General features: G+C 40.8%; 1 long non-coding RNA gene across 1 annotated transcript in view, besides 2 other annotated features; it reads left to right on the top strand.

The window, feature by feature from the left end:
* Positions 1-15,673, top strand: part of MMP20-AS1 (MMP20 antisense RNA 1) — a 46,089-nt gene extending 30,416 nt beyond the window's left edge. Inside the window, exons 2-5 of the long non-coding RNA NR_183620.1 lie at positions 6,164-6,245; positions 9,701-9,835; positions 10,283-10,349; positions 11,786-15,673. This is a non-coding gene — a long non-coding RNA (MMP20 antisense RNA 1). The remainder of the gene's footprint in view (positions 1-6,163; positions 6,246-9,700; positions 9,836-10,282; positions 10,350-11,785) is intronic.
* Positions 7,728-7,897: an enhancer, noted in NCBI's record as "experimental_18677 CRE fragment used in MPRA reporter constructs". NCBI's record gives its function as "activates a minimal promoter by MPRAs in K562 erythroleukemia cells, with activity observed for both the introgressed and non-introgressed 11:102550083 variant alleles {active_cell/tissue: K562}" and the evidence as "EXISTENCE:reporter gene assay evidence [ECO:0000049][PMID:34662402]".
* Positions 14,775-14,944: an enhancer, noted in NCBI's record as "experimental_18685 CRE fragment used in MPRA reporter constructs". NCBI's record gives its function as "activates a minimal promoter by MPRAs in K562 erythroleukemia cells, with activity observed for the non-introgressed 11:102557130 variant allele {active_cell/tissue: K562}" and the evidence as "EXISTENCE:reporter gene assay evidence [ECO:0000049][PMID:34662402]".
* Positions 15,674-18,555: the final 2,882 nt, after the last annotated feature.

The following is an 18,555-nucleotide window of genomic DNA, read 5'->3' on the forward strand; positions in this document are numbered from 1 at the left end:
TTCATCCACTTCAGCTCGATTTGGGTTATTTCTTTTTTTTCTGCAAGCTTTGGGGTTGCTTTTCTTTTCTTTTTCTAGTTTTTTTAGGTGTGATGTTAGGTTGTTCATTTGATAGCTTTCTAACTTCTTGATGGGCATTTAGTGCTATAAACTTTCCTCTTAACACTTCTTGGCTGTGTCCTAGACATTCTGGTATGTTGTATCTTTGTTCTCAATAGTTTAAAGAATTTATTGATTTCTGCCTTAGTTTCATTGTTTACCCAAAAGTCATTCAGGAGCAGGTTGTTTAATTTCCCTGTGATTGTATGGTTTTGAGTGATCTTCTTAGTATTGATTTCTATTTTTATTGCACTGTGGTCTGAGAACACGGTTAGTATGATTTTGGTTGTTCTGAATTTGTTTGAGAATTGCTTTATGGCTGAGCATGTTGTCAATCTTAGAGTACACGCCATGTGCAGATGAGAATAATGTATATTCTGTTGTTGTTGGGTGGAGTGTTCTATATCTTAGATTACATGCCATGTGCAGATGAGAAGAATGTATGTTCTATTGTCAGTTGGAGTGCTGTATAGCTGCCTGTTAGGGTCCATTTGGTCAAGTGTCAAGTTTAGGTCCCAAATATCTTTGTTAGTTTTCTGCCTTGATGAGCTGTCTAACACTGTCAGTGGGGTGTTGAAGTCTCCTGCTGTTATCGTGTGGTTATCTAAGTCTCTTCATAGGTCTGTAAGAACTTGTATGAATCTGGCTGCCCCAGGGTTGGGTGCATATATATTTAGGACAGCTAAGTCTTCTTGTTGAATTGAACCCTTTATCATTTCATAACGCCCTTCTTTGTCCTTTCTGATCATTGTTGGTTTAAAGTCTGTTTTGTCTGAAATAAGTATAGCAACCCTTGCTCTTTTTTGTTTTCTATTTTCTTGATAGATCGTTTTCCATCCTTTTACTCTGAGCCTATGGGCGCCATTGCAGATGAGATTGGTCTTTTGACAGCAAGCACTTGGGTCTTGCTTCTTTATCCAACTTGCCACTTTATGCCTTTTAAGTGAAATGTTTACACCTTTACATTCACACATATTGATATTGTGAATGTGTTGACACCATTCATAGACCTTTACATTCAAGGTCAATATCGATATCTAAGGATTTAATTCTGTCACTGTGTGTTAGCTGGTTGTTCTGTAGACATGATTGAATAGTTGCTTTATAGTGTGAGTGGGCAATGTACCTAAGTGTGTTTTTGTGGTGGCAGGCCTCAGTCTTTCATTTCCATGCGTAGCACCCTCTTCAGGATCTCTTGTAAGACAAGTCTGGTGATAATGAATTCCCCTGGCATTTGTCAGTCTGAAAAGGACTTTATTTCTCCTTCACTTATGAAGCTTCGTTTGGCTGGATAGGAAATTCTTGGTTGGAATTTCTTTTCTTTTCTTTTTTTAAGGCATAATCTTACTCTGTTGCTCAGGCTGCAGTGCAGTGGTGTGATCTCAGCTCACTGTAGCCTCAACATGCTGGGCTCAAGTGATCCTCCCACATCAGCATCCTGAGTAGCTGGGACTGCAGTACATGCCACACACCTGGCTAATTTTTTATTTTTTGTAGAGATGTGGGTCTGACCTAGTTGCCCAGGCTAGTCCAAAATTTCTGGGCTCAAGTGATCCTCCTGCATTGGCCTCCCAATGTGCTGGGATTACAGCCATAAGCTACAACACCCAGCCTAGAATTTTTTTTCCCTTAAGGATGCTGAATACAGGGCCCTAATCTATTTTGGCTCGTAAGGTCTCTGCTGAAAGGCCTGCTGTTAGTGTGACAGGGTTCCCTTTGTACCTGACTTTCCCTTTCTTTCTAGCTGCCTTTAAGATTTTTTCTTTCATGTTGACCTTGGAGAATCTGACGACTATGTGTCTTGGGAATTGTTGTTCACCATCTAGTGTATCTTGCAGGGGTTCTATGAATTTTCTGAATTTGCCTGTTGACCTCTCTAGCAAGGTTGGGGAAATTTTTGTGGACAACATCCTCAAATATGTTTTCCAAGCTGCTTCCTCTCTCTCCAACTCTTTGAGGAATGCCAATGAGTTGTAGGTTTGGTCTCTTTACATAATCCCATATTTCTCAGAGGTTTTGTTCATGTTTAAATTTTTTAAAAAATTGTTGTCTGCCTGTGTTGGTTTGAAGGAGCAGTCTTTGAGCTCTGAGACTCTTTCCTCAGCTTCGTCTATTCTGTTATTAATGCTTCTGATTTCATTATGAAATTCCTGTAGTGAATTTTTCATTTCTAGAGGTTTAGTTTGATGCTTTGTTAAAATTGATATGTCATCTTTCAACTCTTGGATTGTTTTACTGGTTTTCTTGATTGGGTTTCAATCTTCTCCTATATCTTTTTGAGCTTCTTTGTCATCCAGATTCTGAATTTTATGTCTGTCATTTTAGCCACTTTAATCTGGTAAGAACTATTGCTGGGGAGCTAGTGTGGTTGTCTGAGGGTAAGAAGACACCCTGACTTTTAGAGTTGCCAGAATTCTTGTGCCGGTTGTTTTTCATCTGTGTGGGCTGATGTTCCTTTAATCTTTGAATTTGTTATCCTTTGAATGGGCCTTTTTGCTTTTATATTTTTTGATGCCCTGAAAAGTTTAACTGTGGTATAAGTTGGGTGTAGTTGACTGGCTTCATTTCTGGATGCTTTCAGGAGGCCAGGGCTCAGCTCAGCACTCCTGAGCTTCATGCTCCAACTATGGGGTGCTGGGACCAGGTCTGCAGCTTTGTTTTTGGCCCCTCAAGGTCAAGCACCTGCTATGCTTGAGGTGCCAAGGTGTTCCCAATTTGCTAGAAGCAAATTGGGAACCCCCCAATGGCGGCTGCCAGAAAAGCACTCTAGCAGGGTCTCCTGAAGACAGCAGAAACTTGATTGGTGAATTCCCATCCACTCTGCCATTCGATGTCTTTTAAGTAGAGAATTTAGGTCATTCATATTCAACGTTAGTATTGAGATTTGAGGCACTATTCTATTCATCATGCTATCTGTTGCCTGAATACCTTGTGTTTTTCTCACTGTATTATTGATATACAGATCCTGTGAAATTGATGCTTTAAGGAGGTTCTGTTTTGGCATATTTCAAGGATCTGTTTCAAGATTTGAGCTCCTTTTAGCAGTTCTTGTAGTGCTGGCTTGGTAGTGGCAAATTCTGTCATCATTTGTTTGTCTGGAAAAGACTGTATCTTTCATTTATAAAACTTTGTTTCACTGGATACAAAATTCTTGGCCGATAATTGTTTTGTTTCAGGAGGCTAACAATAGGACCTCAATCCCTTCTAGCTTGTAGGATTTCTGCTGAGAAATTTGCTGTTAATCTGATAGGTTTTCCTTTATAGGTTACCTGATACTTTTGCCTCATAGCTCTTAAGATTCTTTTCTTTGTCTTCACTTTAAATAACTTGATGACTATGTGCCTAGGCAATGGTCTTTTTGTCATAAATGTCTCAGGTGTTCTTTGAGCTTCTTGTATTTGGATGTCTAGATCTCTAGCAAGGCTGGGGAAATTTTCCTTGATTATACCCTCAAATATGTTTTCCAAACTTTTAGATTTCTCTTCTTCCTTGGGAACACCAATTATTCTTAGGTTTGGGCATTTAACATAGTCCCAAACTTTTTGGAGGCTTTGTTCATTTTTTAAAATTATTTTTAATCCATCTTTGAAGCATTGGGTTAACTCAAAGGCCTTGTCTTTGAGCTCAGAAGTTCTTTCTTTGGCTTGTTAGATTCTATTGCTGAGACTTTCCAATACATCTTACGCTTCTCTAAGCTTGTCCTTGATTTCCAGAAGTTGTGATTGTTTTTTATTTGTGCTGTCTATTTCACTGAAGATTTTTTTCTTTCATATCCTGTGTAATGTTTTTGATTTCTTTAAGTTGAACTTCACTTTTCTCTGGTGCCTCCTTGAATAGCATAATAATTGACCTTCTGAATTCTTTTTCTGGCAATTCAACGATTTCATCTTGATTTGGATCCATGGCTGCTGAGCTGGTGTGATCTTTTGGGGGTGTTAAAGAACCTTGTTTTGTCATATTACCAGAATTGTTTTTCTGGTTCATTCTCATTTGGGTAGACTATGTCAGATAAAAGATCTGGGACTTAAGGGTTACTGTTCAGATTCTTTTGTCCCACAGAGTGCTCCTTTGACATGGTGTTCTTCCCCTTCCCCTGGGAATGAGGCTTCTTGAGAGCTGAACTGCAGTGATTGTTTGTGGTCTTCTGGGTCTAGCGACCCTGCAGAGCTGCTGGGCTCTGGGCTGGTGCTGCGGAGTGTCTGCAAAGAGTCCTGTGATATGAACTGTCTTCAGGCCTTTCAGCCCTGGATACCAGCACCTGCTCCAGTGGAGGTAGCAGGGGAGTGAAGTGGACTCTGTGAGGGTCCTTGGTTCTATTTTTGTTTAGTGTGCTGGTTTTGTATTGGCTGGCCTCCAGCCAGGAGGTGGTGCTTTCCAGAGTGCATCAGTTGCAGTACCACAGGGAGGATGCAAACTTGCCCTAGGGATGCCTGGTTAAGTATTCAGGTTTCTCAGAAGGTGGGCAGGGCCCTAGAGCTCCCAAGAGATGCCCTTTGTCTTCAGCTACCAGGGAAGGTAGAGAAAGACCACCAGGTGGGGGCAGGGTTAGATGTGTCCGAGCTTAGACTTTCCTTGGGCAGGGCTTGCTGCAGCTGCTGTGGGGAATGGGGGTGTGGTCCCTAGGCAATGGAGTTATGTTCCCAAGGAGATTATGGCTGCATCTGCTCAGTCATACAGGTCATCTGGGAAGTGGGGGAAAGCTGGCAGTCACAGGCCTCACCCCACTCCCATGCAGCTAGCAGTCCTAAAGACCAGTCTCACTCCCACCATGCCCTGCAACAGCACTGAGTCTATTTCCAGGCAGCCAGTGACCAGGGCTGAGAACTTGCCCCAGACCACGAGCCTCCTTGCTGAAAAAGCAAGCCGACTCACAGTTTTTTGGCATCTCAGGGAGTCTGCAGCAGAGATCCAGTCCCTTCAAAGGGTCTGTGGATTCTCTTGGCTTTCTTAGTATGTTCCTGCTGTAGTTCTTGGAGCAAAAGTTCACGACATAAGTCTCCACACGCTGCTCTGTCTGTCCAAGTGGGAGCTGCAAGCTAGTCCTGCCTTCTATCTGCCATCTTGTCATTTTATTCCTATAGTATTTTCTGACATGTAGAAATTTAAATTTTTATTTGGTCAAATTTGTCTATTTTTCCATTATGACTCCTAGGTTTGTGACTTATGTAAAAAGAAAAAAATGTTACCAAAAATTCTCTTGTGTTTTCTCTTGCCACTTTAAGAGTTGTAATCTAAAACACCAGTTTAGGTGGAACAGATCCTTTTCACTCAAGGTGTTGTTGAAAAGATGGTCCCTTCCACACAGACATTAAAAGATATGAATGATTTTTCTTTGTTTCACTGGAGAACCTCAGCATGGGCTCACCCGGGAGCTTATTAGAAATGCAGAATCTTAGTTCCTACTCAAGGCCATTTTGAATCAGAATCTGCATTTTACTGAGATCCCCAGTGATTCATATGCACATTAAAACTAGCAAAACATTAAAATGGGTTGTGTAGGTTTGTGTTTTTTCCTTCATTAAGCAATAGTCAGACCCTATAGGATGGATGAAAGAGCACCGTTTCAGCTCATGAAAGTTTTCACTATGTGGTGCACAGAGAATTTTAAATCTTGCTAAAGATTCGAAGATTTAAATTCATAAAATTGTGAAGACTATACTTGGGTTTCTTGGTCCACTCAGCTAAGGATTAATTTTATGAGAGATTAAGAGAGAGCTAATCTAGGTCTGTGTTTAAGAGGAAGTAATCACAGAATGTCTGGTTCTGTGATCTGTTTGCATTTCTTTCTGGTCATTGGTTTGAATATTTTCTCACTGACCAAGCCTGATGTTTTCATCTAATAACCCTGTGGAGATTTATGGAAACTGACTTGTTGCTATCAAGCTCTAGAAATGTCTTTTTTTTTTTCTTTTAAACCTTCCTTGATAGAATCACCCTCTTTTGTAACCGCCCACTCCAAGCTAAGCCCAGGTAGAATTGGCAGTTGGCTTGTTACTCTTACTTCTCTGGGCTTTTCATAAACAGTGGAATTATATTTACTTTTTCCTCTCTTCCTTTCATGCAGAGCCCAAGGATGAAAACAGAGAAGTAATTAATGGCAGCTTTCCTGGGCCAGAAGAATAAATAAGGAATTATCTTACAAACAGGTGCTTCCCATTCCCCTGACCAGCTACATAGTCATGTCAGGCATCATGATTCGAGACCAGCCTGACCTACATGGTGAAACCCTGTCTCTACTAAAAATACAAAAGTTAGCAGGGCATGGTGGCAACGTGCCTGTAATCCCAGCTACTCAGGAGGTTGAGGCAGGAGAATTGCTTGAACCCGGGAGGTGGAGGTTGCAGTGAGCTGAGATCGTGCCACTGGACTCCAGCCTGGGTGACAGAGTAAGACTCGGTCTCAAAAAAAAAAAAAGAAAAGAAAAATGTTTTTTCTGTCCTTAGATGATTCTTGTAAGCAAATTCTCTTTCCAAGTAGTTTGCCAAATTGATTTAATGAAAGTCCATATGCTTCAAACAGATTCCTAAAGCCTCAGATGCCAGGTGGGTGTTGGCCTTTTCTGGGAAAGATGTTTCACAACTGGCTATAACCTCTCATTCCAGTGTCCCAAACCCTTGGCCCAGCCAAGGGAGGTGACTGTTTTCTTTAGGAACTGAGTGACTGCTTCTGAGGAAGCTTGAGTAAATGTGAGGTTGGCTTCTGTTTGATAAACACGTGGCACTCAATGGGGACTTTTGGACAGAGGAGACTGCATGGGTGACAGCTGGTGGCCTTCACCAAATCCTGAAGTTAAATTTAGGGAATCAGACCCAAGAACACTAAAAGGATTAGGGGCTCTCCACCTGTCTTCCTTGGTCTTGCTCTCTATGCTCTCAGGTCTTCACTGTTGTAGCCACAGTGGTGTTAGAAGGACGAAAATGCTAGGGTAGGGATGGGGCAGGGGTAGTGTGAACTATAGTGGTTTTCAAAATGGGCAACATCAATATAACCTGGGAGCTTGTTAGAAATGCACATTCTCAGGTCTGCTGAAGACCGACTGAATCAGGAAATCTAGGGGTGGGGCCCAAGACCTCCAGGTAATTTTGATGCATGCTAACATATGTGAACCAGCATTTTAGAAAGTTTATGCTACTTAAAGAAAGTCTGTGAAGCAACACCCCCTGGGAACTTGTTAGAAATGCAGAATCTCAGGCCCCACCCTTCTGAGATTCAGGTTTCATTGGTCTAGGGTGGAGGAGCCCAGTTATTGGTCATTTAAAAAACCTCCCGTGTGATTCTAACTTTGCATCCAGAATAGAGAATTACTGCTCTAAGGAAGAAATTGTTAAATGCATTTTATGTTTTCCAGGAGAAAAGATGGTCCCTTCCACAGAGACAGTAAAAGATATGAATGATTTTTCTTTGTAGATTCACTGGAGTTCCACTAGAATAGTGCAGTTATCACATCTTCCTCCAAAGAGGGGTAGGTTTCAGAGTTTCAGCAGTAGAAGAAATCTGGGAGGAATCAAGCCAGTGTGCAACATCAACATCAGTTATATTAGGCTGTTCTTGCATTGCTATAAAGATATATGAGACAGGGTACTTTTTATAAAGAAAAGAGGTTTAATTGGCTCACGGTTCTGCAGGCTTTACAAGAAGCATAGTGCTGGCATCTGCTCAGTTTCCACGGAGGCCTCAGGAAGCTTACAAGCATGGCAGAAGGCAAAGGGGGAGCAGGGACGTCACATGGCCAGAGAAGGAGCAAGAGAGAGAGTAGGAGGAGGGTGGCGGGGTGAGGTGCCACACACTTTTAAACAACCAGATCTTGCACTAACTCAGTATCACGAAGACAGCACCAAAGTATAAGGATCCGCCCCCATGATCCAAACACCTCCCACCAGGCCCCACCTCAAGCACCGTGGATTACAATTCAACATGAGATTTGGACGTGGGTAAATATCCAAACTATATCATCAGTCAGTGCTCCTTTCAATTGCCTCAGGGGAATGCAAGAAAGAGCTAAGAGGAAGTTACTACCAGTGTGATGAGAAAGCTGTGAAGTACTGAAATATGGAATAAGAAAAGGAGGGCCCAGCAGTCCAAATTCAAGTCCAACCCAGCCCTGGGTCAATACCTGCAATCAAGGGCTCTACCTAAATGTTGGGGACGGGGTTAGCCAGTAGGAGAAAGGCCCAGCCTGGGGGAGCAGAAGGCAGTCCTTCCAGGCAAGCTTCAGAACTGGCCCAGCCAGCTGTGTGCCAGTCAGCACTTGGCTGCAGCCACCATAGGACACTGAAAAGAAACTGTCTTGGGCATTCAGGCTAATCAAACTGACTGTGTATATATGATATCCTGAGGAAGCTGCAGCTCTGTGATTGTATTAACGTCTGCTCCCATTAAGACCTGCTTCCAGTGTCTTATATTCTTTGGAGTGACTGGCTGTTACATCTTTGTTAAATTTTAAATTTACTCAGTGTTCCTCTTCTTTGGCTTGTGTAAGACAATAAGCTGGATTTTAATATTCTCCAAACCACCACTGGTGCTTTAGGCGTGGGTCTCATGGAATAAATGCAGGGGACGTGAAAGCTTGAACAAGATCATGGAAGTATGACCGTGAGATTTTTTATCTCAATCTCACATATATTCTTTTAGTTCTTGTTGGTATTAGATACTTTACTGAATATCAAAATGCCGAAGGCTTGCTCCCATCATTTAAGAAGGGGGTCATAAGGATTAAAACACATAATCTTCAACAATAAAAATGTAAGTTGAAAAGGCAAAGACTGTTACGTAGAAAAGAACACAGGACCAGTAGCCAGGGTATCTAAATATGAATTGCATCTTTTTCCTCAGATAATTGTATATCTTAGTTTTCTTCTCTATAAATGAATAAAATGAATTTATCACCCCCAGTATTTTTTTTTCTTATCTTGAAGGATTATCTTGAGAACCAAATAAGTTCAGGGATGTGAAAACAATTAGTGAAATAGGAACTTTTTCATTTTTTAAAAATTTTCATTTTTGAGATGGAGTCTCGCTCCATTTTGAGATGGAGTCGCCCAGGCTGGAGTACAGTGGTGTAATCTCGGCTCACTGCAGCCTCTGCCTCCCGGGTTCAAGGGATTCTCCTGCCTCAGCCTCCCAAGTAGCTGGGACTACTGGCATGTGCCACCATAACAGGCTAAGTTTTGTATTTTTTATTAGAAATGGGGTTTTGCCATGTGGGCCAGGCTGGTCTCGAACTCCTGGCCTCAAGTGATCCTCCTGCCTCGCCTCCCTAAGTGCTGGGATTACAGGCATGAGCCATTGCACCCAGCCAATGAAATAGAAACTTTAAATAGTCACTTTTGGCATTCTTTACTTACGTAACTCTATGCAAAATAACTTGCAAGCCAAAATTTTTAGTCATTTTTATTACTGTGAAATAAGGGAATCCCAGGCCAAGAGGGTGGAGAGTTCCCCAGAGTCTCTTTGACAGCTGCATTCTGCAGGACTGTCTTCATGAACTGATGCAGGCAGCATGAGGTCCAGCATAACCTGTGTTACCATTGGTTGTCATTTGGTGTGTTGTTGGATTGCTTAATGGGGAATAAACTGTGTTCCTTCTTTTTTCTTTATTGAGCAAATAAACCACAGCAACCATGAAATTAGAAGTTTGGTAAAACATGTTGCAGAAGAACCAGGAAACACATTGCAATTGAGCCTGCTGGGTGCTGCTGCAAGTTTGGGGGTGAACAGGAGAATCAGGTTCTTATAGGTAAGCAGACAAATGTGTAGAAGGGTTTTTTGTTTTGTTTAATTTTGAGTGTTGGTGGTGAGTATGAGGCATGATAGAGTATCAGAACATTCACATTCCACAAGAAGATGAAAATAGAAAAATATAAGACAGAATTTGAATTATAACATTTATCATGTGACCTTGGGCAACAAAAATAATCTGTAAGCATCATTTCTCCATTTGTTAAATGGCAACAATGCCCACCCCTTATAGAATTGTCAGTAGCATAAATAAGATAGCATAAAGTAACTATAGCATGTTGTGTTTAGCAAATAGTTATTACTATGATGATTATTTATAGAACTAGCTTGAAGATAAACTGTCTTTCACAGTAAAGATAAGGACTTAACAATAAACTCATTTTTCACATGAGTGTTTGTCACTGAGGAGGCATGCCACTCTGAAATGTGTTGTTCTTGTCACCAGGGGTGAAGTCTGCAAAGTAGGATGTTTTCCTAATTTGAATGCAATGACTGAAGTGGAAAATGGTCAAGTGAGTTTTTGAAAGAAATATTTTCTCTAATATAAAATTTTTGAATTGATTCTTTTTTTTGTTTCTTAAAACAAGTTCTATTCTTATAGAAAAAGAAAAAAATGCCAGTAATCTTTATAATACCCATTAAAATAAAGTCTCTGTAGCCCACAAGGCCCCGAAGAAACTCAGCTCAAAGACCATTCGGCAGAAGGTAAGGCAGCATTCTCCTACATTGTAGACAACAGCTCTTTCTCAAGATGGTAGGATCAAAGTTTTCTCATTTTGTATATATTTCTACATTAACAAAAAATGTATGATCTTTTGTATATTTACTAAATACAACCATGACCTACATTAATGTCATGAATGATTTCATATACTTTTGAATGTTCTACTTTATTTTTAATTTTTTGGTTGAGACAGGGTCTCACTCTGTCACCCAGGGTGGAGTGCAATGGCACCATCTTGGCTCACTGCAACCTCCACCTCCCAGGTTCAAGCAATTCTCATGCCTCAGCCTCCCAGGTAGCTGGGATTACAGCTATTTTTTGTATTTTTAGTAGAGACGGGGTTTCACCATGTTGGCCAGGCTGGTCTCAAACTCCTGGCCTCATGTGACCCACCAAAGTGCTGGGATTACAAGCATGAGCCGCTATGCCTGGCCTCTATTTATTTAAAATATGAAAAGTTAGGGGCTAATTCCTTCCCACCCCTCCATCCCTCATCCTGCAAGATATGCCCCTGCTCTGGTTTGGAAAATCCACTAGAAGGATTAAGAGTCCTGGTAAGTCATGCAGAGTGAAATAGTGAGCTCAGTGACACACAGCATGGAGAATGGACACCCAACAGGAAGAATGTGCCCATATGCATAAATGGAATTGCTGTGGGGATTAGGAAAATGTACAACAAAATTGATCTTTAATCTGTCAATTAATGATTAGGGGTCAGTCCTCAATTTTCTCTTGTCTCTCTGGGTCACCACCTAAATGACCTAATCCAATCCTGTATCTCTATACAATGACAACTCCCAAATTTATAACTCTATGTTTAGACTCTTCTCTATACTTTAGACTTATCTGTGCAACTGCCTACTGGATATCTTGAATTTCTCTTCAAAGTTGTTCCTTCCCTGTGCTTTATCAATGCAGTGAACGGACGCTCCATTCTTCTACTTGTTCAGAAAAAAAAGTTGGGTTATAACTGACTTTTCTGTTGATATCACATCACACATCCAATCTGTTAGTAAATCTTGTCATCTCTACCTTCAAAATATAATCTCGGACTATTTCTCACTTGCTACCACCATCATCTGCTGTCTGGATTGTTGCAGTAGCTTCCTAACAGATATCCAGTTCCTACTTTTTTGCTCCTGTGGTTTACTGTCCTCAGAGCAGTCAGAGTGATTTTTCTAAAATACAAGTCAAATAATGTTGTTTCTGCTTAAATTTTTCTAGAACTGGGCAGAGTGGCTCACACCTACAATCCCCTAGGAGGGAAGGACAAAGGCATCCATATCACCTCGCCACAGTGGTTGTGGTGGAAGCTGTAGCACTGAAGAGATGCAGCCCCATGGAAGATGCTGCCAAGAGAGGGAGACAGAGCTACGTCTGGTGTCTCCCTTCCTCCTTACCTGGTGCCTCCCTCCTCCTGTCCTCCTGTCTCCCTTCAGATGAAGGAACTGATGCTGAGACTTGCACTCTACCATAGGCGGAAGCACCCACCACCCTGTTCCCAGCCCTGGAAGGGCAAGGAATGAATCTGAGGCAAATAGGGCCAGCACTGGCAGTCTGCTCGATTTTCCCTCAGAGCATTTATCTTCCTTGACATATTTACAATTTTTTGTCTATTTTTGGTTTCTCTAACTTGACTAGAATGTAAGATCCACAAGGCTTGGGCTTTGCTCTTTTGTTCACTATGTCCATAGCTCCTGTAACAGTGCCTAAAACATAGTAGGCAATCAATAGATATTCTTTGGATAAACAAATATGCCTCAACATTGAGTCTAACTTACAGCAGACATTGAATAAATATCTATTGAATGAATGAGACTAACAATTTACTACAAAAGCAGTTCTTATGTGAAATATGACAGGGTTGACATCTTAACTGAAATCCATCTTGAGAGATTTTTTTTAACCCACCGAGATTTCTGAGAACACATTTATTTGAAGAACCTTATATTTTATGATGCATTTTTATATGTGAATTTTTTGAAACCCTACTATCTTATTTCCTGAGGGGTTTTAGACTCAGCTATTCTTCATTTCATTTTTATACATTTGTGCAGCTGAACACTTCCTACTTTATTCTTTTTGTTTCTAAGTTCCTAAAAATAGTTCAGAAAATCCAAAATTATGAACTCGATTCATCCAAAAAAATGAACAAATCAAATAACTTTGAAAATAAATGCTTTCACTATTTATTACTAACAAAATTGAACAGTATAATCCAGAAAAATTGAGCAAAAATAATTTATAAATCTCAAGATTAAAACCAAATATGGCTTTATGATTGTATTAGTCCATTTTCACACTGCTATAAAGATACTACCCAAGACTGGGTAATTTACAAACAAAGAAGGTTTAATTGACTCACAATTCTGCAGGGCTGGGGAGGCCTCAGGAAACTTACAATCATGGTGGAATGGAAAGCAGGCACCGTCTTTACAAGGTGTCAGGAGAGAGGGAGAGCAGGGGAAACCACCACTTATAAAACCATAAGATCTCGTGGGAACACACTCACTCTCATGAGAATAGCATGGAGAAAGCCGCCCCCATGATCCAATCACCTCCCATCAGGTCCCTCCGTTGACATGTGGGCATTATGATTCTGATTACAATTGGAGATGAGATTTGGGTGGGGACACAGCCAAACCATATTGGTCAATTAAGCGATAAATACTATAAAAATTATAAATAGTGGTCAAACTGAAACATTTCTCTGTTTCAGAAACTTTTCACTTTAAGAAAGTCTTAAATTCATTGTTGATTACCTTGTTCACATTTTCTCGATCTCTCCTAGAGATCAAATTAGGACTGATTTGTATCAATAAATCTGGATTTTGATTTCCTTTATGACTTTGGATAGATTTCTGGATGGTGAGTGAATACAGACTTAAACTTTAAGAAAGTGCCTGCTTCCAGCTTCTGGCTGGAGGCTACACTTCCCAGCCTGTCAGAACAGCCACCCTGAAAACTGCAATCCATTATGAGAAATAAAGCTCTCTTTTTTAAATTAAAAAGAAAAAGGAATTAAAATGTAGGATTTGGTGACCAATTTAAGTATGTTAAAGATATGTTTTGGCTACTGAGCTTCCTCTGAGATTCTTTATACTCAAACACAAACAAAGCACTGAATTTCAACCTGAAAATATGTCATGTGTTTCAAATAACTTGAAGAACAAAAACAACAACAAAAATCCTGTTATTTTCTGGGAAAAATGATTCATTTCAGGTAAAACCCATGACATATTTTTAGGTCACCAAATCCCACGTTTTAATTCCTTTTTCATTAGGAGAGTCCACCCATGATAAACAATAGGAAGGTTGTAATGAGTTTCTGTCTTTGTCCTCAGGCAAGAAGAAATTCAAATACATTCTTTCTGTGTGAATTCATTTCTTTTCCACCTCAGCTGTTCAAATCTCCAAAATGAATAACTATTGCCAGCACTGTCTTGTTCATGCTTGTTTTTAAAGCTGTTTCTTTCTTTTGAGACGTAATCGCAGGCCCTTAAGAAAACCAGAAGGGACAAGCCAAGTGTCAATTATGTTTGTTGTTCCAGCTAGTCTGTTTCTGTAAGTGTATGATATAGGACAGAAAGAATTGGCCCATATTTTTTTCCAATTTTGAGAAACTCTGAGCTTAATTTTTAGTTTTCCCAATTGTTTTTACTTTAGAATAAATTGCTTAGTATATCTAATTATAATAATGATGGCTCACATTTACTGCGCATTAACTACATCAAGTACTTATTGTAAGTGACGCATGTGACCAGTTGCCAATTGTTCAGGCTACAGCTTGGATCTGTTAGCATCCTCATTTAACAAATGGAGAAATTGTAGCACAGAGAAGGAACTTTCCCCAGGTTCCATGGTGAATAAATAGAGGAAGTGCTCAATGAGCCTAACTAATCTGGGTTGAAAGCTCATACTCTTACCCAGCCTCCAAGCTAGCAGATGGAAATCAAAATATCTTATTTTAAAGCTCTTTTCTAGGAGAAAAGATACCTTGATAAGCTGTTTTTCCAAGGAATGGGAGGCCATAATGACATGTTTAAATGAGACAATAAACAGGTTTACATAACTAGTTTACATTTAAAAAGAAAGATAAAGAAACAGGAACTTGGGTTCCTCCCAGAGGTCAAAGAAGGGAGGGGTCAGACAGAAGAGCAGAAGGTTGGCATCTGTGGGGAGGTCACTGTGGGGAGACGATTTTGGAGGTGGGTTTGCCAAAGGATATTAATAAGATTTTTCCCTCTAATTGTTTGATGGGGAGCATTAGAAACTCCATAAGATTTTGGATTTTGGAAATCAAGTTTATTTAAATCTTAAAGGATGAGTGATATCACCTACTTTTTGAGTTATAAATCTTTAATATAATTCTAATATTCAACATATATGCTTTGAAAACTGTGTTTTTAGATTTTCCACTGAATTTGAAATAGGATTATTTTTATAGTTGAATCTTGTCCTCTCCTACAGGTCAATTTTTAAGAATATATATCCAGGAAAAAGTAACTGCCCATAAGCAAAAATGAGTGCAATTTCTGGTGCTCTCCTAACTGTAATATCACACGTATTTGTGCTACAGAACAAGAATAGGGACAAGGAAAGAAAACAAACTTGACCAACATTTGAGAATCTACTACATGTTAAGTAGTAAGTCATACTACTTTTTAAAATCCACTTTATCGAAGTAGAGTAAACATATACAATTCACTAATTTTATTTGCACAGCCTATATATATATACACTAGTGTCACCACTGCAACAATCATGATATAGAACATTTCTATCACCCCAGAAAGTTTACTCATGATCCTTTGTAGTCAATCCCTCCTCCCACTTCCCACCTTTGGCAATCAGTGACCTGCTTTCTGTTACTATAGTTTTGTCTCCTCTAATTTTTCATATAAATGGAATCATATATCATGAAGTCTTTTGTATCTGGTTTCATTCACTTTCCATATTGCTTTTGGGATTCATCCATATTGTTTCATGTGTCAGTCATTTCTTCCTTTTTGTTGTTGAGTATGGACATTCCAGTTTGTCTATTCATCAACTGATAGATATTTGGGTTGTTTCTAGATTTTAGCTATCATAAATAAAACTTTCATGAACATTTATGTGCAAATACTTATTTGGGCAGGTTTTCATTCTTCTTGGGTAAACATTTAGAGTAGGATCATTGGGTCACAGGAGAAGTGTGGGTTTAATTTTATAATAAATTGCCAAACTGAGTGAGGAAGGAAGAAACCAGTCAGGCAGGCAGTTAGGGTGGATGCTCCATTGATTTCTTTCAAACAAAAGAACGGCATGCAAGCACTGATAAGGGAACTTTCACAGGGGGGCTTGCCTAAGATATGCCCACAGCTGCATACATAAGAAAGTCTACACAGGAGACTTACCCAGACTTATCTGCAATGGAAAATGCTATCCCCTGACACATGCACGGTAAGGGAAACAAAGACAATATGGAGTAACTCAAGCTAAGGGCCTGCATGCACACTAGGAGGACTGGGTGGAGCGACCAGAAATTTGCTCCTTATGCAAATGAGACACCCAACACTCAGTGGTTCCTTATAAAAGTCTCTGTATTCAACTGTGAAATGGAAACCCTTTTTTGGGAACCCTTTCTGTGGCAGAGAGCTTTCTTTCTCTCTTTCCCTTGTTAACATTCCAGTGGCATGATCTCGGCTCACTGCAACATCCACCTCCCGGGTTCAAGAGATTCTTCTGCCCCAGCCTTCCAAGTAGCTGGGATTACAGGTGCATGCCACCACGCCTGGCTAATTTTTTGTGGTTTTAGTAGACATGGGGTTTCACCATGTTGCTCAGGTTGGTCTCCAACTCCTGGCCTCAAGCAATCCACCCACCTCGGCCTCCCAAAGTGCTGGGATTACAGGCATGAGCAACCACACCTGGCCAGCTTTTAAATATTAACCATCTTATTTATGTATTTATTTATTTTAAAATGCATCATAAACTCTTTATTTCAGTGAATGGCAGAGTTTCACAGCAACACACCTTTGAAAGCAAACATTAAGAATATGTTATCAGAGCATGTTTCTTTCTCCATTGAATGTTCACCATTTTACTGGGTATTCAGTAGTATCTCCTTGTGGTTTAGCACTTACCTAATGACTAATGATATTGAAAAATCTTGCTGGGTGTGGTGGCTCACACCTGTAATCCAAGCACTTTGGGAGGCCGAGGTGGGCAGATCACGAGGTCAAGAGATCGAGACCATCTTGACCAACATGGTGAAACCCCGTCTCTACTAAAAATACAAAAATTAGCTGGGTGTGGTGGCGTGCACCTGTAGTCTCAGCTACTCGGGAGGCTGAGACAGGAGAATTGCTTGAACCCAGGAGGCAGAGGTTGCAGTGAGCTGAGATCGCGCCACTGCATTCCAGCCTGGGCAACGGAGAGAGACTCCATCTCCAAAAAAAAAAAAGAAAAATCTTTTCATGTACTAATTTACTACTCATATGGTGAATATTTTGGGCATTAAAAAAAACTGAGGTTGTGTGCAGTGGCTCATGCCTGTAGTCCCAGCACTTTGGGAGGCCTAGATGAGTGGATCACTTGAGGTCAGGAATTCGAGACCAGCCTGGCCAACATGGCAAAACCTCGTCTCCACTGAAAATACAAAAATTAGGTGTGGTGGTGTACACCTGTAATTCCAGCTACTCAAGAGGCTGAGGCACAAGAATCACTTGAACCTGGGAGGTGGAGGTTGCGGTGAGCAGAGATGGCACCACTGCACTCCAGCCTGGGAGGCAGAGTGAGACTGTGTCTCAAAATAAATAAATAAGGCCGGGCACGGTGGCTCATGCCTGTAATCCCAGCACTTTGGGAGGCCAAGGCAGACAGATCACTTGAGATCAGGAGTTTGAGACCAGCCTGGCCAACATGGTGAAACCCCGTCTCTACTAAAAATACAAAAATTAGCTGGGAGCGGTGGTGGGCGCCTATAATCCCAGCTACTGGGGAGGCTGAGATGGCAGAATCTCTTGAACCTGGGAGGCGAAGGTTGCAGTGAGCCAAGATCGCACCACTGCATTCCAGCCTGGGTAACAGAATAAGACTCTTTCTAAAAATAAATAAATAAATAATTTAAAATATAAACATTCATTAATGTTTTTAAAAAAATGAGGGGATGGCAGGGGCGGTGGCTCATGCTTGTAACCCCAGCACTTTGGAGGCTGAGGTGGGCGGATCACTTGAGCCCAGGAGTTCCCAGCCTGGGCAACACGGTGAAATGCCATCTCTGTAAAAAATACAAAAACTAACCTGGCATGGTGGTGTGTGCCTGTAATCCCAGCTACTTGGGAGGCTGAGGTGGGAGAATTGCTGGAGACCCGGAGGCAGATGTTGCAGTGAGCTGAGACTGCACCACTGCATTCCAGCCTTGGCAACAGAGTGAGACCCTGTCTCAAAAAAAAAAAAAAAAAATGAGCTGTTTGTCTTATCTATGAGTTATAAGAATTCTTTATATATTTAAGATACAAGTCCTTTATCAGATATATGTTTTGAAAATATTTTTTCCCCAGTGTATAGCTGGACTTTTCATCCTTTTAAATTTTTATTTTTCTTTTTGAGGCGGAGTCTCACTCTGTTGCCCAGGCTGGAGTGCAGTGGCGTGATCTCAGCTGACTGCAACCTCTGCCCCCTGGGTTCAAGCGATTCTCCTGCCTCAGCCTCCCGAGTAGTTGGGATTACAGGCACCTGCCACCACACCTGGCTAATTATTTTTTGCATTTTTAGTAGAGACAGGGTTTCACCATCTTGGCCAGGCTGGTCTTGAACTCCTGACCTTGTGATCCACCTGCCTTGGCTTCCCAAAGTGCTAGGATTACAGGCATGAGCCACTGCGCCCAGCCCAGCAGTTTTTTCTTTTGTTTTGTTTTGTTTTGTTTTGTTTTGTTTTGTTTTGTTTTGTTTTTGAGATGGAGTCTCACTCTGTCATGAGGCTGGAATGCAGTTACGCGATCTTGGCTCAC

Source organism: Homo sapiens, chromosome 11, assembly GCF_000001405.40.
Source record: "Homo sapiens chromosome 11, GRCh38.p14 Primary Assembly".
In the NCBI taxonomy this organism is placed as follows: Eukaryota; Metazoa; Chordata; class Mammalia; order Primates; family Hominidae; genus Homo; species Homo sapiens.